Raw genomic sequence first — 25,719 nt, 5'->3', positions numbered from 1 at the left:
GCCCCACTACCAGCGGGTCCCTGAAGATGCCATTCTCATCTGGAAAGCGAATGCTCTCGGCCGAGGCCGTTTGCGTGGCAGCGCGTGGAGGTCTGCGGGGGTCCCATCCTCAAGCGACATTCTGGGTCCCACGCAGAAAAAGTCAGGCCACTGAAGGGGCCGCTGTGAGGACAGGGGTGAGGAGAAGGGGGCTAACTTTTCGGCCTGCCTTTCTCGACGTTCCTAATACCCGAGCTTCCGTTTAACATATGTGTGGCTCTTCAGCTCAGCCAAGTTCATTTTTCTGTATGCAGCTGAAAATGATTCTAGAAGCAAAACTCGCTGTCCGTGTCTGAAACGGGAAACTTGCTTTCTGGAGCAAAAGTCTTTTTCTCAGTAGAGCAAATCCTGCAACTCGTGTGGGCAGAAACCCAGTCCTCAGAGGTACAGGTAGAAACGTGGAGATCCCAGCAGACCCCTGCATCGTTCCTAACTGGGAAATGAGCAGAGTCTGTGGCCGCACACAGTCGGGGAGGCTTGGGTAACTGTGTTCTCTTCTCCATGTATGGCCTAGAGCACCTCATCCACTCGGATGACTTCATTCGTTGCTGCTACAGAAATGTCAGCCTTTTCAATGTAATCTATCTGAACAATTCACTGGCATTTCAGATGGGAAATGTTTTTTTAAAAACTGATTTTTTGAAACTTCATCTCCTATCCCAAACTCTCAGGCCTCTCTCTTAACCTTCCAATTTTAATCAATGGCATTTCCATTCTCCTAGCAGACCACCCACCGTGATCATCTGGCTTTGTTCTTACGGAAGCCAGGTTGAAGCTACCCAGTACCCAAGTAGCCCCATCCAATGGGAAATTCCAAATCAAGGCCTCCAAAGAGATAAGTCCTGGAATACAGGAGTCAAAATGGGCCCCGAAACAGACAATTCACAATTAAATTCCCCAGAAGAGCAGGAAGTTTGCCCTCGAGGTGCAGGCTTGTAGAGATTACTCAAATGGACTAAACTGTACAAAAGGCAGCCATGGACAAGTTACAGGTCCATTGTATCAGTATCCGTCCTTGACTCTGTATCCAAAGCAGAGTCTTCTATGTGGGCAGGGTAAAAAGAGGCTTCCCCAGAATCAAACAGTCCTGATCACAATATCTCCCTGCCCTCAGATTTGCTAATCAGAAAACCACCCCTACACAGTTGCAAAGACACCTCCCCCAAGGCCTTCGCCAGCCCTGAGGGCACCTCCACAGTGAAACATGTCCTTTTGGCTTTCCAGCTTGATTCCCAAAAGCCAGTCAAACCAGGGTGGAAGCCTCCACTGTGTTCTACATCCCGTGCAGTGAGTGGAGCTTTGTGAAGTTGCCTTAGATTGCTAAGGGCAGAACTGTGCCCAGACAGAAATAGGCAAACCGAATTTCTCTTGTGTTCCCTTACTCTTTTTCATGACTGCTCTCATTCTGCTCTCTTCTCCACTAGCCCGGGTGTCTGGGACGCTTGCGTCGTTTCTAGGCTCTCCCAAAAGAGTCTCGTATCCAGCCCTTCCCTCCCTGAGAATCGCCCCAGTCTATTTGTCCTTCTCCCCTCCCCTAGTTCTGTTAAAAATGACCTCATTTGTGTCTCATTCTGATCAGGTCTTGGGCTCTTCTTTACAAAGTGGCAATCCTAGTCTGTCAACTGACTCGTGTTCATGGGTTTATACCCTCTTCCCAGCCAGGTCACCCCTGAGCTTAAACATGGCCTCATGAAAACCAGGTCCCCATGATCACCCTAAGGTAACCTACAAAGCTCTAGCCCTGGAAGGCAGGAAGATGACTGCTGGGAGACATATTTTAAGAGTGACACGTCAGAGGCAGCTCTCGACTTTTTAAAAAAGTGCCATGTTCTCTATTGTTACACTCTATGATTACTGTACTAAGGGCCCATCCTGACTTCTCTGGAATTTTCTGCAAATATGTAGTTCTGGTGTAACTTCAGCAGGGGTAAAAATTCAATGGTACATAACTGACAATTTATCAAATTAAGAAATAGAACATGCAAGTTTTTCTTATAAGAATTTTGTAACGTAAATGGTCATTGTGCTAATTCAGACCTCAACTTCTCTGCTGCTATAAAGTCTCCAACAGAAAAAGCCAGTAATGGTCATAAAACTGATCATGTTTTTTGATTCAGGAAATCCTTTTTTGAACAATAACATACAAAGACGAAAAGTAAACAAAGCTGCCTGTTTGAATATAAACACATATGCAGACAAAAAAAACAAATAAATGGGTTAGAGAAACAACAACAAAAAAATTACATCCATGGAGGTAAAGGGAGGATTGTTGCGTTAATTGTAACTCAAACCTCTTAACACTTGAGGAATGATTAAGCAAGCTAGGGTGTCGTTACTGGGTATATTTGATGGTGTACAATAGTATATGTTACTTAGATATTAAATGAAATGTGTATACTATGTAGATTTATAGAGACGTTTATAGTAAATAAGGTTCTGTGAAAATAATATGACTCAAAATGTTAAATAGGATAAGCAATATAAATGTGTCACAACGCCCTGGAGTGCAGGCTGATCCCTGGAGACCAGTACTGAGTCATCTGGTCTGCTCAAGGGCCAATTAAGGAAAGATAAAAATGTTTACAAACCTTGTTTTTCATAATTTATCTTTTTTATGGAACTATAGTGTCTGCAATATCAGTTAAACAGCCTTTTAGTATTTCTCATTTATGTAACAACTCCTTCCTTCCTTCTTTCCTTCCTTCTTTCCTTCTCTTTCTGAAACTTTCTAAATAGCATGTGCTACCTAACCTTATTTGTAACCCACGCCCTTTAAACAAATTTTGAGGAGATGAATCCTGGACATACCAGGGTAGGAAAGGGATTTGAGGGATTTAGAAAAACAGAGGTGAGTGGACCCCACAATTCACCCACAGACTTGAAAAAGGAGACAATAGCTGGAGGGGGGAGGCTGGAAACTGAAGGAGCCTGTCTGTGGGAAAGGGAGCGTCCCTGAGAACCCCAAGGAAGGTGGCTGCTCGGTGGAGGGGCTATTAGGTAAGCGGATAGAAACTGCACAGCCTCCTTTGCAATTCCAGATGTCTTCATGTGGAAAGTGTGGTGACATCTTAGATGGGAGATGGGGAGGGTGGGGGCTCGCCTCCTCATCGTCTCCATCGCCTCAAATGGGAGTGCTCAGAAGTGTTCCAGAACAAGTAGACAGCTCTCACTGAAGACAGGGAAGGCTCTGTTGGGATCTCACAAAGGATTGGTGTCAGGTGATAATGTTTAAATTTTCCAGATTCCTGAGAGCCAGCACTGGGCAGCTTAAGCCATCCTCAGCATCCAACTGGCCTCTTTACTGACACTCCTGCCTAGCAACCTCCACTGTCCCTTGGATCTCTGGCTGAGCTTAAAGTGTTGGGTTAAAAGAAAATAAGCAATAAGATATATATTAACACCTCCCATGGAAGGTAAACGGATTGATTCAGCTGTGACCACCTCCCGAAAGCCCTAAGTAACATGTAATTCAGTCAGTCCTGTTCATTTTCATTGCTTACTTGTAAAACTGAGAAATTAAACTACAATGATGCAGATCAAAGTCACCACAACCCCAGTTTCGTTTCATAGACTGTCTTGGGTTATTTCTTCTGGCGAGTCAGAAGTTTTCCTGCAATTGCTCAGAGTAATACACGGAGTTTAGGATTTCTTTTTCTTAAAAGGAGTTGTGTTTCACTTTTTTGTACCTTGATATTATTTGCTCTCAAACTAAAAATTGGTTTAATTTTAGATGTTGGCAACGATTCTCATATCACAGGGATTTCTATGTTTAGCTGTTTACCCACCCATTCGGCAAATAGCAGACACTGACTGTGCTAGACACTGGAAGAATGACCAATGGCGGAAGAAGACCCACGTTGACGTCGAGCTATAAAGGAAAGAGACAAACATATAAACAGGAGACTATTGTATGATGTGAAATGTCTGAGGCTTGGTGTAGTTGCTTCATTTTTGTAGATCTTCTTATTCAAGAAATGGGTATAAATTCCAGAGATGCCAAACCTTGAATTCAACTGAAATCAACCCCCAAGTAAAGGAGAAGATGATCAGGATGGTTGGAGTTTGAACCTAGTCAACTGGTAGGTGAGTGTGTGTGTTTGTGATGGGGGGAAAATAGATTTGTGTTTTGTTTGAATTCCCAAGACTGCCCTAGATAAGGAAGAACCTAATGCAGACTCTTCCTAATCTGAAGTGCCTCTAAGAATATCTGCGTACAAGTTGAGTATCCGTCATCCAAAATGCTTGGGACCAGGAGCGTTTTTCCGATTTTGGAATATTTGCATTATACTTACCAGTGGAGCACCTCTAATCCAAAAATCCCGAATCCAAAATGCTCCAATGAGCATTTCTTTTGAGCATTGTGTCAGCAGTCAAAAAGTTTCGAATTTTGGAGCATTTTGGATTTCAAATTAGGGATGCTTAACCTGTACTAAGAGTACTGAACTACTGTACTAAGTATTTAATAGTTAACTGAGTTGCCTTAAGGCTCCAATTACATTAGAACTCTTGCAAATTTTATTTCTACTGAGGTTATTATTGTTAAAAAAACAAAATTTCAACAACGTTAAAGATTTAATTGGCTTTTATTACTGATTAATGAATCAGGCAGCATCCCATCCAAAAATTGAGAAAATGTGCTCCAATGAGCTAGGGAAAAGACTTGACTTTATAGGCAGGAAAGGCTGAAGAAGCAGAAACAGGGAACGAAAGGTAGATTGGCGTTTCAGAGTTACTTCCCTTGCAGGGTTAAAGCATGGGGGACTTCCTCATCAAACCTGCTCAGGTAAACTGGGCCCCTTCTGATTAGCTGCTGTGCATCTCCTATTTTTCTGAAAAGCTGCCCTTTTTAAAGTTCCGTTGGACAGCCTGGCACCTAGCAGGAGTGACTCCATTCTGGTTTGGTCTGGTCCGTTGGGCCTAGTGTAAGAGTTCAGTCCTCCCATAAATTTTATTTAAGATTATTCTTGAACTACTATTCTCCTTGCTATTCATGGGCTTTCCCAATTACCAATATAACAGAGCCTGTTCTGAATCATCCATAATCCAATCCTTCGCATAGCATATATTCTGCACTCTGAAAATATGTGGTGAGTGGGTGGGTGAGAGAGTGAGTTCACCGACCCGACCGATAAATCCCAAGCATGGAGGGTAGAAAGGGCCCTCTGACATCAGACGGAACCAAGTTTACATGCAGGCTCCTTTATGCCCAGTTTGTGTGAATTTAAGGAAGTTATCTGAGTCTCTTCAACCTGTAGTTCCATCCTCTGTCAAAGATGGATACTGAAAGGCTGTTGCATTATTTTGGGGGAGGGTTACACACAATGCTGTGTGTGCGTGTGTGTGTGTGTGTGTATGTGTGTGTGTGTGTGTGTGTGAATAGCAAGTCCAGAACATCCCAGTTTGCATGGGACTGTCCAGGTTTTAGCCCTGATTGTATGGGACTGTCCAGGTTTTAGCCCTGATTGTCCCGCATTCTGGGAAACTTCAGTCGCAGGTGAACTGCAATTGTTGTTACCTTGTCCCCTTCCCTAAGCCCATAAAACTGTTTTGGGTTGTTACTATCCATTAAAAAGGAAGTGCTGACTTCCAAACATCCTCACTTCCTTCCTCAGTTTTTCTGAATGTAAAAACGACTCCACATTTAGAAAACAGCGTAACTACTTCATGCATAGCTATGCACATCTAAATTACTTATGATTCTCCATCTTATACTCAGTTCACGTGGGAGGCTTAAATATGCAAATTCTAACTTCAGCTAAGTAACCATTGTTTTACTGAAAGACATACTGGGTCTAAAAAAGGAACAAAAATAGGAAATAAGAAAAGAGGGCTTGGTTTCCCAGTCTCCTGGTGGGGCCCCAGCCCCTTTTGTGGCCCTCTCCTGACTCCCCGCCCTTCCCCTCCTGCACACTTGTGTTCAGTGTCATATTCTTCTACTGAACTGAACCTTACCCTAAGAACCAACCCTCAGTAGCTCTGGTAGAGGGCATTTTAAGGACTTTAAGGCAGAACCCTCCCTTGGGTAAAGATTTGTAGGAAGCTGGCCTTCCTCCAGACAGTTCTTCCCCTAGCCCACATGTGGTTCCTGAGTTTCAGGCTATGGAACCTCCCCTGGTTCTAGTGTCAGCAGATGTTCAAAAGTGGGGCATCAAGATTAGTCAGTGGCAGGCCGGGCGCGGTGACTCACACCTGTAATCTCAGCACTTTGGGAGGCAGAGGCGGGTGGATCACCTGAGGTCAGGAGTTCAAGACCAGCCTGTGCAACATGGTGAAACATCATCTCTACTAAAAATACAAAAATTAACCAGGCGTGGTGGCGGGCACCTGTAATCGCAGCTACTCAGGAGGCTGAGGCAGGAGAATCTCTTGAACTCAGGAGGCAGAGGTTGCACAGAGCCAAAATCACGCCATTGCACTCCAGCTTGGGCGATAGAGTGAGACTCCGTCTCAAAAAAAAAAAAAAAGATTAGCCGAGGGTTTACTGTGGGTAGCCCAAGGACAGAGGGGCCCTGGCTCCATTTCTCCTAAATGGGGGAGGAAGCGGGGAGAAGGAAATGCAGATTTACTCTCAAAAATCACAGGGAGAAAGACTGACAGGTTCGACCACCAAAAAGTTAACACTTGCTTAATGGAAGAAATATCATAAACACAATTTTTAAAACTACAATCTGGGAAAATATTTGGCATAAATATGACTCGGTTAATAATCAATATAGAAAGAACTAATAGATTATTATTTATCATTATTATTTTTTACAAAACCACCAAGGTCCATTAGGAAAAATGAGCAGATGCAATCAGGGAGTTCACAAGTAGGAAATGCATGTATGAAGAAGGTGTTCAATTTCACAAGTAAGTAAACATACAGATTAAAGCATCAAGAAATAATTTTCGGCTGGGTGCAGTGGTTCACACCTGTAATCCCAGCACTTTGGGAGGCCAAGGTGGGCCTTGAAGCCAGGGGTTTTGAGACCAGCCTGGCCAACATGGTGAAACCCCATCTCTACTAAAAACACAAAAATTAGCCGGGCGTGGTAGTGCATGCCTGTAATCCCAGCTACTCGGGAGGCTGAGGCAGGAGAGACTGCAGCGAGCTGAGATTGCACTACTGCACTCCAGCCTGAGCAACAGAACAAGACTGCCACCAAAAAAAAAAAAAAAAAAAAGATTTTTTCACTTATCAGCTTATCAGAGTTGTAAAACCTAAAGCTCCGTGCTGGTTAGCGGAACAGAAAGGAGAAGGCCCGGTCAGGCTGCTCAAACAATAATAAACTGCTCTTTTAGAATCAGACTGTCTGACTTTATATATGTTCATATCCTGACAGCCATTCTCTGTCACGTGGGTTCCTTCACATATCTTTCCCCCAATGCAATATTTATTTTACTCTCCATGAACAAAATTAGGTTCTGGTGGGTGTGAGAGATAAGGAATCTGAAAGCTCCCTGCTGGTTGCCAAATGTAAATTTGCATATAGAGGATAAGGAAGGGAAGAAAAGGAAACTTAAACGGAAGGTTTAAGGATTATCTAGGAGTACTCTTCTCTTTTGACTGTGAACGTCTGGAAGCAAGCTTGATGCAAGTAACCACAGCAACACTTATTCAGTGTTAATTACTAGCTAAGTACCAGGTACCCATGGGCCCTGCCAGGCTTCTTATGTCAAAGATGTCACTGTCCCCCTGCCTAAAGGAAGGTGTCATTGTTCTTGAAACTGAGGCAGAGTCCCTGCAAAGATCTGCCCTGATGGGCCACAGACAGGCTTTAAGCCCATGCACTTCAGTAAACATGTAAATTACCATCCCATGCGTTCAGTTTTTAGTTTGAGGCCTTACTGAGGATATGCAGGAAAAAAATGTTGAACAGACTGGGAAATAAAATATCAAAGCTTGACATAGAGAATCAGCTGCAAAGATGAGCAGGTCAGTGCTGGCTGGCATAATCACACACACACTGGTCCTATTTCTCCCTGTTGACTGGAGGGGATTCAGAAAATACATTTTGGTATTTTCCCTGCAGGGCTGAAGAATTTCTCCCAAAGAGTAAAAATAATAAATATTTGTAGAACATGTGAGATCACGTCTGTGAAACACATTTCCCTCTCAACTAGGTTATTTTTCGTGCCCTACAGTTCTTACCTAAAGAGTAAACAGCAAACCCAACAATTATATATATATATATATATTTTGAGATGAAGTCTCACTCCGTCATCCAGGCCAGAGTGCAATGACACAATCTTGGCTCACTGCAACCTTCGCCTCCCGGGTTCAAGGGATTCTCCTGCCTCAGCCTCCCAGGTAGCTGGGACTACAGGCATGCGCCACCACGCCCAGCTAATTTTTGTATTTTTTAGTAGAGACAGGGTTTCACCATTTTGGCCAGGATGGTTTCGATCTCTTGACCTCGTGATCTGCCTGCCTCAGCTTCCCAAAGTGCTGGAATTACTGGCGTGAGCCACCGCACCCAGCCTGTGATGGTTACTTTTATGTATCAGCTTGGCTAGGCCATAGATATTTCATCAAACATTATTCTAAGTGCTTCTGTGAAGATAGCTTACATGAGACTAACATTTAAATCAGTGGACTTGCAGTAAACCAGGGTATTCTGCTAATGTAGGTGGGCCTCATCCAATCAGATGAAAGTCTTTTTTTTTTTTTGACATGGAGTCTCACTCTGTCACCCAGGCTGGAGTGCAGTGGCGTGATCTCAGCTCACTGCAAGCTCCGCCTCCCAGGTTCACGCCATTCTCCTGCCTCAGCCTCCTGAGTAGCTGGGACTACAGGTGCCCGCCACCACACCCGGCTATCAGTTGAAGGTCTTAAGAGAAAAAGACTGACCTCCTTAGAGGAAAAGGGAATTCTGCCAGCGGAGGGCCTTCAGACTCAAGCTGCAGCAGCAACTCTCCCAAGAGCTTCCAGCCTGCAGCCTGCCCTGCAGATTTTGGACTTGCCAACCTCCATAATAGCATGAGCCAATTCCCTAAAATCAATCAATCAATCTATCTATCTATCTATCTATCTATCTGTCTATCCGTCTATCTATCTATTCATCTCCCATTAGTTCATGCTTCTCTAGAGAACCCCAATTAATACAATATTCAGCTAATATTTTTTGCCCTGAATCCCCCACTCAGGATGCACACATATGGGTTCTGACTCTGCTCTCCCAAATATGAATTAGGTACTGCTATGTGCCAGACATGCAGCCAGGAGCTAGAGATGCAAAAGGTCATCGAGGAGTCCTGGCCTCAGGAAGCCTGCAGTCCGAGCTCACCTCTGCACCCTGACCCTTTTAGGAAATAGGCTGTTTCCCAGACTTCTGTTGCTGTGGCCCCGGTGTGAGAATTCATGTGTATAAACACGGACTTGGTCCCATTAATGTTATGAGGAAAGGGCAGTAATAATTAAAAAATAAAAATAAAAATGTGAGAAGACAGATCCAGGTCCAAAGCAGAAAAGCTGTGGTCCATAAGGTTAACCTAGTGCCCACGAAGTGGCAGAACCAGAAAGAAGGGCCAGGTGGAGAGGCAGAGTTAAGTCAGAGCTGAAGACGGTGGTTCAGAACAGAATAGCAAGGCCAATGAGTGGGGCTGTGGGCCCGAGGGGAGAAGGCCACACTTTGGGGAGATTTCACTGACCATGCTATCACCTGTCCAGGTCCTTGTCTGGATGCATTATCTAGCCTAATCCCAGGGCATGATCCAGAGAAAAGAAATTAAAAAGGCATTACTTCCTTACTATCCAAGAGATTTGAGAAGGAGGGCTGTAGCTCAGACCAGGAATAGAAAACAGGTGTATCTAGAAAATGGAAAAGAAACAATATAAACACCTGGTGTGTTAAACCAGCCCCAGCAGGCCACAATAACAAGATGTGCTTGCACCAGGATGTACCCTAGATGCTCAGAAAATATTTGTTGAGAAAAATGAATGGAATCATACAATATGTGTCTTTTTGTGTCTGGTTTCATTCACTTAACATAATGTTTCCAAGGTTCATCCATGTTCTAGAATATATTCACACTTCACTCCTTCTTATGTGATACTGGTTTAAACTCTACTCTTGGTCGGACGAGATGGCTCACACCTGTAATCCTAGCACTTTGGGAGGCCGAGGTGGGTGGATCATTTGAGGTCAGGGGTTCGAAACCAGCCTGACCAACATGGTGAAACCCCATCTCTACTAAGAATACAAAAATTAGCTGGACGTGGTGGCTGTGTGCCTGTAACGCCAGCTACGTGGGAGGCTGAGGTGGGAGGATCGTTTGAACCCAGGAGGTAGAGGTTGCAGTGAGCCGAGATCATACCACTGTCCTCAAGCCTGGGCTACAGAGGAAAACTCCGTCTCAAAAAAAAAAGAGAAGATTTTAAATTCTATTCTTCTGTTCAAAACTCTTGTACACCTTCCCATTGCCCATCCAAGTAAAGTCTAAACTCTTTAGCATAGCATTCACTATTCTACAGAATCCCACCTACCCACCTTCCCTGCGCCAACCCACCCTACCTTTTGGTCTCTGTACCTTTGCCGAAGTCCCAAATCTCTGGACATCTAAATTGGTGATTCTCGAAGCATCTCGAGTCTCCAAACCAGGCTCGGCAGAAACAGTTTGGGAACATTTTATCAATATCCTGCCGGGCAGCAAGCCATACTGCTCGCTGAGAGACGGTTACAAGCTCAAATATGCAGGCTTCTCCTTAGACTACTGATTTGGAAACTGGACTCTGTGTGTTCACAAGCCCTCCAGGTAATTCTGATGTACAGTAAAGTTGGAGAAGCATTGGCCTACATCACAGCACTCCTCAATGTCTAGTTTATATGCGGCTTCTTCAAGCCTCCCTGCTTTCTCTTTCCTCTGCCCAGTTCAGAGTATTCCCATTGGACATTTTCATTCCTCCTTGAGAGGATTTCCACATTTTACACTGTGTCATGGTTGTGTCTCCATTATTAGACCTCAGCTGTGTCATTTCTTTCATCTAGACACTGAGAAGGAGGTTGGACAAGATGCCATTGAAGGTTGCCTCCAGCTGAAATCCTGGGGATGAGCTCATGGAGGGCAGGCCTGGCCCTTCTCCTATCTCCCATTGCACATCATGCCTAAAACATGGCTCCCAAGTTGCCCGTGACAAACTGCCACCAATCTGCAGCAAAATGAGAGGGGGGACAAGTAATGTGATAAACTTTTCTTGGCAGGAAATGTATCCAATTATATTATTCTGAGAGTATTACTTTCCTACTTGGGGGTATGAAAATGTCATTTCTAGGCCAGGAGCGGTAGCTTACATCTGTAATCCCAGCATTTTGGGAGGTTGAGGCAGGTGCCTGTTGTAAACTGTCTCAGAGCCGTAGCTCAGAGAAGGTCAGAGAAAAAGAGAAAACACAGCACAAACAGAGAAGGCCCACCACCGGGACTGTCAGGTTTTGAAGGGAAGGCGAGGGTGAAAGAAAGACACACACAGAGGGAGAGGGCAGCTTAAACAGACACCTGCAGAAGTGGGGACCAGCTTAACACCAGAGCCCACCACTGCTTACAGGCCGGGGATACTTATAAGTATGGGTGGAAGGGGTCTGGGCAGTATGGCTTGCTGCCTGGCAGGATGTTGATAAAATGTTCCCATGATGAGGCGGTTCTGGCCCTTGTTCTGGCAGAATGTGGTGTTCCTTGCCCTTTCTCCCAGCAGAATATGATAGGGGTGTTTCTTTAGTTGGGTCTTTGCCTGTCTGCCTTGTGGTCAGGTGGTTAGGCAGGATGTTTCTTGTGGCCCAAACCCTTGTGAAATGTTTCACTTTGACCAAGGTCTGCAAAATAGCAGGGAGCTTACAAAATGGTGCAGTTTGGACTAACAGGAATAATGAGGACCTGCCACATGCACACGCAGGGCATTCTGAAAGCATGCAAACCTCCTGCCTTCCAGCCTTGCGACGTAACTCACACACGCGCCAACTAGAACTAAGGAGACAACTGTTGAGTGCCTTTTGAGAATTAACAGATAAAGTGTCTATGGAAATCCCTGAAATTTGCTTTAATCCTAATGCCTGGGCCCATTCCAGCAGAGATCAGCATGTTGGACCCCACCAGAGATTAAGCAAAAGGAAAGACAGGCTTAGCAGGAAGGGCGGGACAGTTGTCATCCTCCCAGCCGCCGTCGGGGCCAGCCACAGACTGTGTGTGGTGTTTCTGTTTAATTGTTTGACACACTGAGTGTACCATTCCAAAGTGAGTCCAATTTTTCCTATTTATTCCTTTTTCTATATTTACAGAGTCATAAGTTAAAGAATCTTATAGCAGATGCTTTCATGAAGACTCTGCCCAGTTCAGAAAAACTCTTTCCTCCGAAGAATGCTCCTTCTAAAAAAAAAAAAAAGGGGGAGGGTGGGGCAGGAGACCTGGCAGATACTGCTTTACTACTACCCCAACTGCTTGGCCACAGGTAGGCATGGGTAAATGTCTGATCCAAGGCACACCAGTGAAATTCTCTTGCAGGAATTTGGACCTGAGGTCCTGAGGGTCCACTTGGCTTCTATGTGCAACTGGAACTAAGGTGATGTAGACTCAGGTGCTGTGGGGTGGGTCTCAGGCATGAGGTGAGAGAGGGCCTGGAGCCAAAGTGCAGAGAGAGACACAGATGTGTGACCCTGTGGGAGCAAGAGTCTGAGGACACGGCTGTCATTGGTGCCTCTCATGAAGACAGCCACATCCCCTCACTGAGGATCTCTGAGCCACTCATGAAATGCCTAACAGGTCCCCTTCACTGAGCATGTCACTGCAATGCCGTGGAGACACCACAGGGCCCCACAGGTAACCTAGCACCATGCTAGTCCTGGCACCTTGTGGCTGACCAAGAAATATGTAACACATCACCTGTCACCAGACTAAGAAGAATCTTTGAAAGACTGGTATGTTCCATCTGGAGAGGATTAAGGAAAGCATAACAGCAACCTTCAAATAGTGCAAGCATACTCATCAAAGAATAGAAGGATCAGCTCCTGGATTACTTCTTTTCGTATTCATACCTGACCTTACTTGGGGAGCAAAATTGAAGTGCCTCGAAATTCTGAGAAGCTCCACATGGCAGATTAACTAACAAAGTGTGGATGCAGCAGAGCAACCCATCCCAACTCATCTAAAGGAGTGGCTCACTCTCTCTCTCTCTCTTTTTTTGAGACAATCTCACTTTATCGCCCAGGCTGGAGTGCAGTGGCACAATCTCAGCTCACTGCAACCTCCACCATTCAGGTTCAAGCAATTCTCCTGCCTCAGCCTCCCGAGTAGCTGGGATTATAGGTGCCCACCACCACGCCCCACTAATTTTTTTATATTTTTAGTAAAGACAGGGTTTCACCATGTTGGCCAGGCTGATTTTGAACTCCTGACCTCAAGTGATCCTCCCACCTCAGCCTCCCAAAGTTCTGTGATTACAGGTGTGAACCACCATGCCCGGCTGACTCAGTCTTGACAGAGATGTCCAGGTGAAAGAGCTTCTGGGGAAAGGAGTTAGCTGTCCTCCTCCTCTAGGGGCCGACTTGCCACCTGTCAGGACGTCAGCCACATGACCTCCATAGGAGGAATTGCTCCCCAGAACCTATGTGGCGACTCAGCAGCCTGCCACCCCTTTCCTGTCCAGCCTGACCCACGAGTGAGCTAGAGACCTGCTGGGCAATGTGCTGACTACATAGTTAACAGCAATGGATCTTATGCTTAAACACTGCTTGGAATAGATCTTAAATAGTCTCACCCAAAAAAAACAATAGGCATATAAAGTGAAGGATATATTAGCTTGATTTCACCATTCCACAATGTATACATATATCAAAACATCATGTTGTACACCATAACTATATAGTTTTTATTTGTCAATAAAGGAAGGAAAGAAGGAAGGGAAGAAGGACAAGGTGTGTGTTCGCAGGGCTGAATGCGGCCAATTTTTTAAAAACTTAACTCTGAGAATAATAGATTGCCTTTTTGTGGTAAAAATGACATTTTTAATGACATAAGTATGAAAACAGAATGATAGATGGGTTTTTTAAATTTTTATGTCAGTCATTACTAGACAAAGTGGATTAGCAACTTGAGGTCAGCCCCTTCATTTTTTGTTTTATTTTGTTCTGTGTGTGTGTATACATACATATCTTTTTAACTTATATTAGTGTGTAAAATCCAAGAGTCTGCAACTACTGAACTATATGACTTTAAGCCCCTTTCCAACTCTGGATTCTGGACTGTAGGACTGAACTTATTTCCAACAAACTTTACAGTCTGTCTTAAAACTTTATGTGAACAAGCAGGGAAAAGCAATATGGTCTCTCTCTAGAGGCTCTCTGGACCCACTCTAATGTTCTAGCCAGGCGGCTGCTGCCAGAAAGGAGATTGGTAGTATTGGCAGTATTATACCAGAAGTCACCTTGTAGTTTTGCCCCAACTTTTTATTTTGAAATTTTTCAAAGCTACAGAGGAATGGAAAAAATAGAACAAATCATTCAGATACCCTTCACTTACATTCACCAATTGATCACATTTGCCACCTTTGCTTTCTCTTTCTCTCTGTATAGATATAGATATATGGCTAAACCACACATACATTTTTGGTTGAACCTTTTACAAATAAATTAGAGTTCTCATCACATTTCACCCATAAATACTTCAGCATGTATGTCCCATAAACATAAACATTCTCGTATAAAACTATAGTAACATTATCACTCCCAAGATATTTCACATTGATATTAATACATTAATTAATGTCATCCAATAGACACTCTATAGTCACATTTCTCCATCTGTCTTAATAATAGTCTTTAAAACCTGGAACCAACCCAAATGTCCAACAATGATAGACTGGATTAAGAAAATGTGGCACATATACACCATGGAATACTATGCAGCCATAAAAATGATGAGTTCATGTCCTTTGTAGGGACATGGATGAAGCTGGAAACCATCATTCTCAGTAAACTATCGCAAGGACAAAAAACCAAACATCGAATGTTCTCACTCATAGGTGGGAATTGAACAATGAGAACACATGGACACAGGAAGGGGAACATCACACTCTGGGGCCTGTTGTGGGGTGGGGGGAGGGGGAAGGGATAGCATTAGGAGATATACCTAATGTAAATGACGAGTTAATGGGTGCAGCACACCAACATGGCACATGTATACATATGTAACTAACCTGCACGTTGTGCACATGTACCCTAGAACTTAAAGTATAATAATAAAAAAATTAAAATTTAAAAAAAGAAAAAAGAAAAAAATAATAAAATAATAATAGTCTTTAAAATTTTTTTTATTGTTATGGTTGAGCCAAGATCCAATCAAGGATCTAGCATTTATCATGTCTCTTTGAATCTCATTTTATTTATTTGTTTGTTTGTTTGTTTATTTGAGACAGAGTCTCGCTCTGTTGCGCCCAGACTGGAGTGCACTGAGCTGCCCAGTGGCATGATCTCGGCTCACTGCAACCTCCACCTCCCAGGCTCAAGCAATTCTCCTGCCTCAGTCTCCCAAGTAGCTGGGATTACAGGAGCCCGCCACTGCACCCGGCTAATTTTTTGTATTTTTAGTAGAGATGGGGTTTCACCATATTGGCCAGGCTGGTCTTGAACTCCTGACCTCAGGTGATCCATCTGCTCAACCTCCCAAAGTGCTGGGATTACAGGCCTGAGCCAACGCATCCAGCCTGAATCTCTTTTAATCTTGAAGAATTTCATGGCTTGTATTATCTTCCAAGACTTTTAACATGTTTAAAGAGCTACTTGTCTTATAGAGTGTCACACAATCTGTATTTGACTGCTTGTTTCCTCCTAATAAGATTCAGGTTAACATTTTGGCAAGAATACTGCAAAGGTAATATTACCTCTGTGCAAAGGGAGCACAGAGGTAAATTTATCCCATTGTTGGTGAAGCTGACTGGGTTAAGGTATGTCTGCTAGATTTCTCATTGTAAAGGTACCTTTTCCCTTGGTATTTAATATGTATCTGACATAGTAAAGGTTTCAGGGCCGGGTGCGATGGCTCACACCTGTAATCCCAGCACTTTGGGTGGCTGAGGTAGGCGGATCTCCTGAGGTCAGGAGTTCAAGACCAGCCTGGCCAACATGGTGAAACCCTGTCTCTACAAAAACACAAAAATTAGCCAGGCATGATGGTGGGTGCCTGTAATCCCAGCTACTTGGGAGGCTGAGGCGGGAGAATCGCTTGAATCCAGGAGGCAGAGATTGCAATGAGCCAAGATCTCACCATTGCACTCCAGCCTGGGTGACAGATTGAGATTCTGTCTCAATAAAAAAAAAAAAAAATGGTTTCAGATCACCTTTTACTTTACCAGTCAGTTATAGCTGTCAGCTATTTCTCTAAGGTCCTATGATTCCTTTTAATGGGAAATGGTATTTAGACATCAAGATTTTTGTGCTAGGTATTTCAATGATATTGGAGAGGGTATATAGGCCCTTTCAATGGATAAGATTAAAACAACAATTATGAGCCCACACTAATACAACCACAGCTCTTCTTTCTCACTATGACCTACTGGTATTTCCCTCTCCCCTCAGGGAGAACCCTGGCTCCCTACAACATGTAACTTATCTATCCCTCAATATACAGAAAATAATTTCAGTATCACTCAACCAATGCCACTTCCAACAATGAAACTACCAAGTAAATTCAAAATTTCTCCACAGTCTTTTTTTTCTTTCTATCTACCAAGGCTGTACAATCAGAGCACGGGGTTCAGAGGCTAATTTAGTTATTTATTATTTCTGTGTGGTGATGTAATCATTTGATGTACAGTTAGATTTATTTGTTTCTGTTTATATTCAGTTTTAGGTGTCTTTGTTCTGCTTTGTTCCTTTACATATTACTGATTTCTTATAGAAGTCTGGGATTTTGGCTTTTCTGGAAGACTGGGGTCATGGCCAGAATGAACATACAAATAAATAATGAAACAAATCAGCAAGCATATGTGCTCCAGATGTCTCTGCATAAATTGTGGTTATTAATACTTCACAGGACTGTTGGTGCAAATCAGATCATATGTGAGGTAATTCAGTAGGGAAACCAAGCCTGAAGGGAGAGGTTAACCTGAAATGTCAGTGAGGCAGCAATGAAACCAGGATTGAAAGTCACATTTGTCCTAGATCCAAAGCTTGTGACTTTAAATACCATGATATATGCAAGAAATAACCAAAGTTATTCATCCAGCCTGGGCAACATGGTGAAACTCTATCTCTACAAAAAAAAAAAACAAAACCCACAAAATTAGCAGGGCATGGTGGCATGGGCCTGTGGTCCCAGCTGAGGCTGAGGTGGGAGGATCACCTGATCCCAGGGAGGTCAAGGCTGCAGTGAGCTGTGATTGTGCCACCACACTCCAGCCTGGTCAACAGAATGAGACCTTGTCTTGAAAAATAAAAATAGAGGCTGGGCACAGTGGCTCACACCTGTAATCTCAGCACTTTGGGAGGCTGAGGCGGGTGGATTGCCTGAGCTCAGGAGTTCACGACCAGCCTGGGCAACACAATGAAACCTCGTCTCTACTAAAATACAAAAAATTAGCCCGGCGTGGTGGCATGTGCCTGTAGTTTCAGCTACTTGGGAGGCTGAGCTACTGGGAGGAGAATTGCTTGAACCCAGGAAGCAGAGGTTGCAGTAAGCCAAGATTGCACCATTGGACTCCAGCCTGGGCAACAGAGCAAGACTCTGTCTCAAAAAAAAAAGAAAGAAAAAAAAATTAATGTTAAAAAGACCAGGCACAGTAGCTCACGCCTGTAATCCCAGCATTTTGGGAGGCCGAGGCGGGTGGATCACCTGAGATCTGGAGTTTGAGACCAGCCTGGCCAACATGGTGAAACCCCATCTCTACTAAAAATACCAAAAATTAGCCAGGCATGGTGGCAGACACCTGTAATCCCAGCTACTGGGGAGGCTGAGGCAGGAGAATCGCTTGAACCCGGGAGGCAGAGGTTGCGGTGAGTTGAGATTGCACCACTGCACTCCAGCCTGGGTGGCAGAATGAGACCTTGTCTCAAAAAAAAAAAATTAATGTTTAAAGAGAAACTTTAGACAAATTAAATCGAATAGTGTTTAAAAGAGCAAAGAATGATTCATGGATCAGGCAGCCCCCAGAACCCTCAGAGCAACTCCAGGGCTGCCACATGACTTGATAACACATATAGACAGAAAAAACAAGGTGACATACAGAAAATGGAAGGGAGGTACAGAAATAGCCAGATTGGTCACAGCTTGGAGTTTGCTTTATTTGAACACAGTTTGAACAGTTGGCTGCCTGCGATTGGCAGAAACTTGGCCAATTGTTACCAAAATAGGTTAGAGTCTTGTTTACTCATAGGTCACTATGTATGGAGAAACCTTCAGGCCTAACTTAAAATAAATAAGGAGGCAGCTTTAGGCTAAACTTAATTTAATATTAATAAGAATAACAATTTCAGGGATTCATCAATGATAGACTGGATAAAGAAAATGTGGTGTATATATGCCAGGAATACTATGCAGCCATAAAAAGGAACGAGATCATGTCCTTTGCAGGGACATGGATCAAGCTGGAAGCCATGATCCTTGGCAGACTAACATAGGAGTAGAAAACCAAACACCGCATGTTCTCACTTATAAGTGGGAGCTGAACAATGAGAACACATAGACTTGAGGAGGGGAACAGCACACACCGGGGCCTGTTGGGGGAGGGCCAAGGGGAGGGAGAGCATCGGGACAAATAGCTAATGCATTTGGGGCTTAAAACCTAGGTGACGGGTTGATAGGTGCAGCAAACCACCATGGCACATGTATACCTATGTAACAAACCTGCACGTTCTGCACATGTATCCCGGAACTTGAAGTTAAATTTTTTAAAAAATGAGTTTCAGGGATTTCAATGAGTCAGAAGAAAAACTATTCACTATGCATTTATAAATAATAGATAAACATGTGCATGTATGTAGTCATGCACCGCATAACAACATTTTAGTCCACAATGGGCTGCATAAATGACGGTGTTCCCAAAATTATAATACTGTATTTTTACTGCATTTTTCCTATGATGAGATATGCTTAGATGCACAAATACTTACCATTGTGTTACAACTGCCCACAGTATTCAGGACAGTAATCTGCTGCAGGTTTGTACTTTAGGAGCAGTAGGCTATACCACATAGTACTATCTAGGTTTGCCTAAGTACACCCTATGATGTTCGCACAATGATAAAATCGCCTAAGGACACATTTCCCAGATCATATTCCCATTGGTAAGCAATGCATGACTGTATATTTTTTCTCTTATGCATAAGAAAAACCGAACAGGCTGACTTGGATTTATCTGCATAAAGGCAAGGGCATGACTGAACACACTGAGTCGATGACTCAGTGGGACTGAACCTCCCGGTTAGCCTCTCAGCGATGCATCTGTTGAGAAAGAGTGCACACCGAGGAGAGAAAGAATTGATATATCCAAGTCAATCCAGGAGAGCTCAGTGTCGCTTCCATTTCCCCATTTCATAGAGGTGGGAAGGTCTGTGATGACCACACCCACATCCCGCATGAGCGATGGCGCATGCGCATGAAAGCTGCTTTAGGGAGCATGGTCAGGGCTGTGAAAACTCAAGAGGAGACAGCATTCATACTGGAGAGTTTTAAGCCTCGGGAACCCAGGTCTGGCCCTTTTCTTGGTAACTGTTTGAGCAGAACAGAAGTGCCAACACCTGGTTACGGATCCGAGAGACAGAGGAAATAGAGTGTCTAAGTCCAAGGTTGCAGCTGTTCCCCAGGACCAGATCACCTCTGCCTTGCCTCAGCACGTGCCAATAAACTCCCCCTCGGAGCTTAGGCTTGTTGAGGTTGAGCTTTTCACTTGCAAACAAAGCCCCTGACGCGCGTGTGCATCATTTTTAACCCTCACAATAACCCCGTGGGGAAGCTAGTAATACCTTGCTGTTGGGAGATGAGAAACCAAATTTCAGATACCTCAAGGAACTCATTCAAGGACAAATATTTTGCAAATGGCAGGTGGGATTTGAATCAAGGTCCTCCGATGATGTATCACATCTCATTAGAATATGCCATTGAAGACACTATATATTGAACAGCTCTGTGAACAAAAATTTATACCTAGAAAAATGTAGATTGTAATGTGTATTATCCTCGTGTCTCAGTTATGAGAAGGACAAGGAGAATGTTTGTTGAACATCCACTACATGTCAACTGCTTTTGAATCTGTGAGGTCATTATCCCCTCCAGCAAGCCAGTGAAGCATCCACTTGTCGTATTTGTTTTTATTATTAGTATTATTTTGAGACTTGGTCTCACTCTATCACCCGGACTGGACTGTAGTGGTGCAATCTCTGCTCACTGCAGCCTCCACCTCCTGGGCTCAAGTGATCCTCCCACCTCAGCCTCCCGAGTAGCTGGGACTACAGGCACGCACCACCACACCCAGCTAATTTTTGTAATTTTTTGTAGAGACGGAGTTTTGCCATGTTACCCAGTCTGGCATCCACATGTTTTAGTTGAGGACTAAGAAGTTCAGAGGGTGCAATTAGTAATTACCTTTGGTCACACAGAAACAGGACTAGCGTACAATTTCTTCTGACTAAAATTCTGGTGGTGTTTTTTGTTGTTGTTGTTCTTAGTTTGTTTGTTTTGTTTGAGACAGAGTTTCGCTCTTGTAGCCCAGGCTGGAGTGCAATGGCACAATCTCGGCTCACCACAACCTCCGCCTCCCGGGTTTAAGCAATTCTCCTGCCTCAGCCTCCGGAGTAGCTGGGATTACAGGCGCCCACCACCACACCCGGCTGATTTTTGTATTTTTAGTAGAGATGGGGTTTCACCACGTTTGCCAGGCTGGTCTCGAACTCCTTACTTCTGCTTGCCTTGGCCTCCCAAAGTGCTGGGGTTACAGACGCGAGCCACCGTGCCCATCCTCTGGTGTTCTTTTTACTACACTAAATTCCTTCTTCCTAGTGTAGGATTATATTGTTTGACCCCAATTCCATAATTCAAGGAACTAATATTCACCCAGTGGCTTCTAGCCAGGGAGTGAAGAGAGAGCTGATGAGACACTCACCAGCCGCTATGAACAACTCTTCTCCTTCACCCTTATTTCCGTGGTGGAAACTATCACAGCACTTCTAAGCAATCGCCTAAAGTTCTGCTAAGAGCTATTCATGAGTTTCTTTAATATTCATCAGCAACAATGTATTTACAAAAACCAGAATAAGGGTTCAAGCTAATAAACCATTTTATTTGCATGTTATAACTAAGTGTCTTGGATACAAAAGTTTACATTGACAAGAACTAATTGTAGGGCTCTGTATGGTGGCTCACACCAGTAATCCCAGCACTTTGGGAGGCCGCGGCAGGAGAATCATGTGAGCCCAGGAAATTGAGACCAGCCTGGACAACATAGGGAGATTCTGTCACTACAAAAAAAAAAAAAAAAAAAACCTAGCCAGGCACAGTGACAGGCGCCTGTGATCCAAACTACTCAGGAGGCTGAGATGGGAGCATCGATTGAGCCTGGGAGGTCAGGGCTACAGTGAGCCGTGATTGTGCCACTGCACTGCAGCCTGGGCGAGAGTGAGAACTGTCTCTAAAAAAAGAATTGATAATAGAACACAGTTTGAAGGCCCAGATGTTTTTTTCTCATCTTGGATATATTGGGTTAAGTAAAATACATTATTAAGATGAGTTTAACCTGCTTAATTTTACTTTTTCAAATGTGGCTATTAGATAATTTAAAGTAACATATGACTCACATTGTATTCTTATTGGATAGCACTTTTCCAGCACATAACTTTTTTTTTTTTTTTTTTTTTTTGAGACAGAGTCTTGTTCTGTCACCCAGGCTGGAGTGCAGTGGCACGATCTTGGCTCATTGCAACCTCTGCCCCCCGGGTTCAAGTGATTCTTCAGCTTCAGCCTCATGAGTAGCTGCGGTTCCAGATACGCTCCACCATGCCTGGCTAATTTTTGTATTTTTAGTAGAGACAGGGTTTCACTATATTCGTCAGGCTGGTCTTGAACTCCTGACCTCAGGTGATGTGCCCGCCTTAGCCTCCTAAAGTGCTAGGATTACAGGCGTGAGCCACCAAGCCCGGCCTAGCACATAACTTTCAAAACCTAGAAAATATTACATCATTAACTTCCCCCAAGCAATTAGAATTGATTTTTTAAAAATAATAACTGTGCCATGTAATAGGAACCAACTGGAGAGCTAGATTAGGCCAGAAAAAAATGGTAGCTGAGAGGAGACAGTTATCGAGCAGCTTCAATGATATCTCCTAACGTCAAGGAGATGAAACATCTGGGTGTCAGGAAGGGGCTTGCTTCAGAAGTGCAAAGTCCTCCTCCTTTTTCTCTTCTGTTCTTTCTGTCTACAGGCTGGCCTTCTCTGCCTCTCCTGTCTCCACTGCAGGACCTGACCAGGACACCACTCCTGAAATTTACCTACCACAGTTGTAGTCACATGCAAACGAAGAGGCTGGATCTGGGTATCTCCTGCAGTGCATGTGGACTGTGCAGAGAGAAGGAGTCCCCTGGAGTGGGACACTTAGAGCAGAGGGCACCCAGAACCAGGAACCATGAGAGAGGAGTCTCAAAATAGGACACAAAGGGAGTGCTTCACCACGTCACAGTGCACATTGCAGCTAAGCCTCCGGCTCTGCTGGGGTCAGGCCAACATGGAAAGAACCCAGGGACACCCACTCTTCCTGGGCACAGCTGAGAAGAGATTAGGAGCCAGAGAAAGGCCTCCAGGAAACCCAGGGCAGACCAGTAAGAATCCAGAAGCCCAGTCCAAACCGAGGCAGAAAGAGGACTGATGTGTCTAACACCTGGCCTTCGCTACCTCCGAAGAGAGACAGACCAAGAACAAACGAACCAAGAAGGTGAAATGGTTAAATGTGGCGCCTAAGCCTTTCTTTTCCAGGAACTGACATAACTTCTGTCTGTCTGCCTACACGGAGTTGTGGTTAGGAACACATTTCTGGGGGATTGGTTTGGTTTCAATGTTTTCCAGCATCTGGTAAAAACAGAATTATGAAAGTTAAGTATTCAAAGATTGTTGTTTGGGTTTTGAAACAGAAACATTTTGAAATACTGATATGTTTTGCTTTCATAGTATTATTTTACTTAAAGAGATACGCTTGAAGTAAAACCAAATTCTCAGCTACTAACAGAAACACTTTAGTCTTCCTTGTTGCCCAAAAGCCAGTTTGAGATTCGGCAATTTTAGGAGAGAAGGAGGGAGAGAGAGAGGAAGGACACACCACAGATAAAAAGGAAGTTTGAGACAGTTGTGCCTGTTCTTATTGAATGTTTTAGGTGATTCCTATATCCCTTTTCTTCCTTCAGCTGGGGCGATCTTTCCAGAAAATGCAGCCCACCAGGAAAGGTTAGAATTTATCCAGAGCAGCTATTTGCACTTGGTTTTTGACATCTTGAAGTAATGTGTTTGTCTGAGTGCTTTTCTTATTTATACATAAATAATCTTACTATCTATGTTTTATGCTTTCTTACTAGCATGTAGATCTAATGTAGTTCCATTTACTGGATTCTGAGAGAAATATAGACATTGAAAGGGGGACTCTAGACTCCTTCCTCTGGCCAAAATGCAGTAACAGGGGCCAGATTTGTGTTCTTGCCTGAAACAGTAACAACAACAAAAGATGAGACTTAAAAAAAAAGTTTCAAAACATGGATTTAGGCAACGAAGGACAATGAGTGATCCCTAAGCTACTGCCCCATCTTGTGGCCTTGAGACAGTTTCCAGGCTGTGGTGCAGAGTGGAGAACAGAGGCAAAGCCTGGTAGATCCCTGACTTGAGGAGACAGAGGTGAGAGTCAGGAGATCAAGGCAGCTAGAGTTCATGGGAATCAGCACCAGAGAAGAGAGAGCTCCATAAAGAGAGGACTTGGGAGATCTGCAGAGGATCCTTGAATATTCATCAGAGGACCTACTGACCAGCACATTCATGCGCAGGCGTCATCAGAGACAAGGGAGAGAGCCACTTGAAAGGATTGGAGGTTTACAGTGCTCACTCAGAGCAAGGAATCGTGCTTATTCCCACCAGCCAGACCAGAAAACCTCATAGTTCATTGACATTAGTAGTGTTAAACTAAGTTAAGCCTAAAGCTACCTCCTTACATATTTTAAGTTCAGGCTAAATGTTTTTCCATACACAGAGAACTGTAGCCTAACTGGACATGTGACCAGATTGTAAGGCACTCCTGTAACAAGTAGTCAAGCCTCAGCCAATTATAGCAGCCGAATTTTGGCCACTCAAAGGCAGCCAACTGTTGAAACCATGTTTAACTAAGTGCCAAACTGTCGCCAGCCAGCTGTTTCTGTGCTTCACCTCCATTTTCTGTAAGTCACTGCCCTTTTACTGTCCATAAATGTTATCCGGCCACATGGTGGCCCTGGAGTTGCGCTGCTGGTTCTGGGGGATGCCCAATTCATGAATCATTCTTTGCTCAATTAAACTCTGCTCAATTTAATTTGCCTAAAGTTTTCCTTTTAACGGGATGGTACATAGTACAAGGGAATAATTAGACTAAATGCTAATCAGTCCTGCCGAACTAATTCAAAAAGAAAGACCTGAAAATATCAAATTGTTTACAAGTGACATAATTGTGTTCTAGAACAAATATTTATATAAACATAAAAATGTCCATCACCCTACTAAGTAAAATTCATAAAGTCTGGCATCCAATCAAAAATTACCAGTCAAGCAAAGATCCCTGAGAATACAACCTATAATGAGAAAAACAAATTAAATTTGATCCTTAACTGACACAGATGTTAGAATTAGAAGACAAGGCACTAAACTGTATTACATATGTTCAAAAGGTAAGTAGAGACAAGGAAAATATCAAAAAGACTCAAAGCAAGCTTCTATAGATGAAAACTGCAATGTTCAATATGAAAAATTCACTGGCTAGAATTAAAGGCAGATTAATTACCTGGTTGGTCCTGCCTATAAAAACAAATTTAAAAAATAAAATAAAGACTAGCTAGACATTACGTAAGAAAAGATTACTGAACTTGAAGACATAAAAATAGGAATTACCAATAATGAAACCCAGAGGAACAAGAGAATTTTAAAATATGAACAGACTGGGCACAGTGGCTCCTGCCTATAATCCCAGCACTTTGGGAGGCTGAGGTGGGAGGACCACTAGAGGCCAGGAACTTGAAACCAGCCTGGGCAACATAGCAAGATCCCATTTCCACCCACAAAAATTTTTTTTTAATCCAGGCATGGTGGCATGTGCCTATAGTTCCAGCTACTTAGGATGCTGAGGTGAGATGATAGCTTAAGCCCAGGTATTTGAGGCTGCAGTGAGCTATGATTGCCACTGCACTCCAGCCTAAGTCACAGAGTGAGACCCTGTCTCAAATAAGTAAGTACATAAAAATGAACAGTCAGATGACACCCAGAATGATGATACGAGGCCACCACTCCTTGGATTCATCCCCTGACAAAACAACCAAAACTGGTGAAAATTATGAAACAATGACCACTGAAAGTCTCTGAAACTTGTCCTAAGTCATACAGCAAACAAACAAACATTCAAGAAAATCTACCTAATCTCACTACAGACAGCAAGACTCTGTGGCACTTGGGCATAACCTGTTCCCTCCCTTCCCATCAGCCCAGCATGATGGAAGCCTGGCCCTAGG

General features: G+C 43.7%; 1 long non-coding RNA gene across 1 annotated transcript, besides 1 other annotated feature; it reads left to right on the top strand.

The window, feature by feature from the left end:
• On the top strand, nucleotides 24-24,533 carry LOC124904244 (uncharacterized). Its single transcript, XR_007066281.1, has 2 exons — nucleotides 24-4,122; nucleotides 22,416-24,533. It is a non-coding gene; the product is annotated as an uncharacterized LOC124904244 (long non-coding RNA).
• Nucleotides 10,044-10,246: a silencer, noted in NCBI's record as "fragment chr18:9697747-9697949 (GRCh37/hg19 assembly coordinates)". NCBI's record gives its function as "represses an EF-1alpha promoter that drives an FKBP-Casp9 reporter gene in an ReSE screen in HepG2 liver carcinoma cells and phorbol 12-myristate 13-acetate-treated (for megakaryocytic differentiation) K562 erythroleukemia cells {active_cell/tissue: HepG2 | K562(+PMA)}" and the evidence as "EXISTENCE:reporter gene assay evidence [ECO:0000049][PMID:32094911]".
• Nucleotides 24,534-25,719: the final 1,186 nt, after the last annotated feature.

The sequence above is a fragment of the Homo sapiens genome, chromosome 18, assembly GCF_000001405.40.
Source record: "Homo sapiens chromosome 18, GRCh38.p14 Primary Assembly".
NCBI lineage: Eukaryota > Metazoa > Chordata > Mammalia > Primates > Hominidae > Homo > Homo sapiens.
The sequence above is the reverse complement of the archived record's forward strand: the minus strand, read 5'-3'. Positions and strand labels throughout refer to the sequence as shown.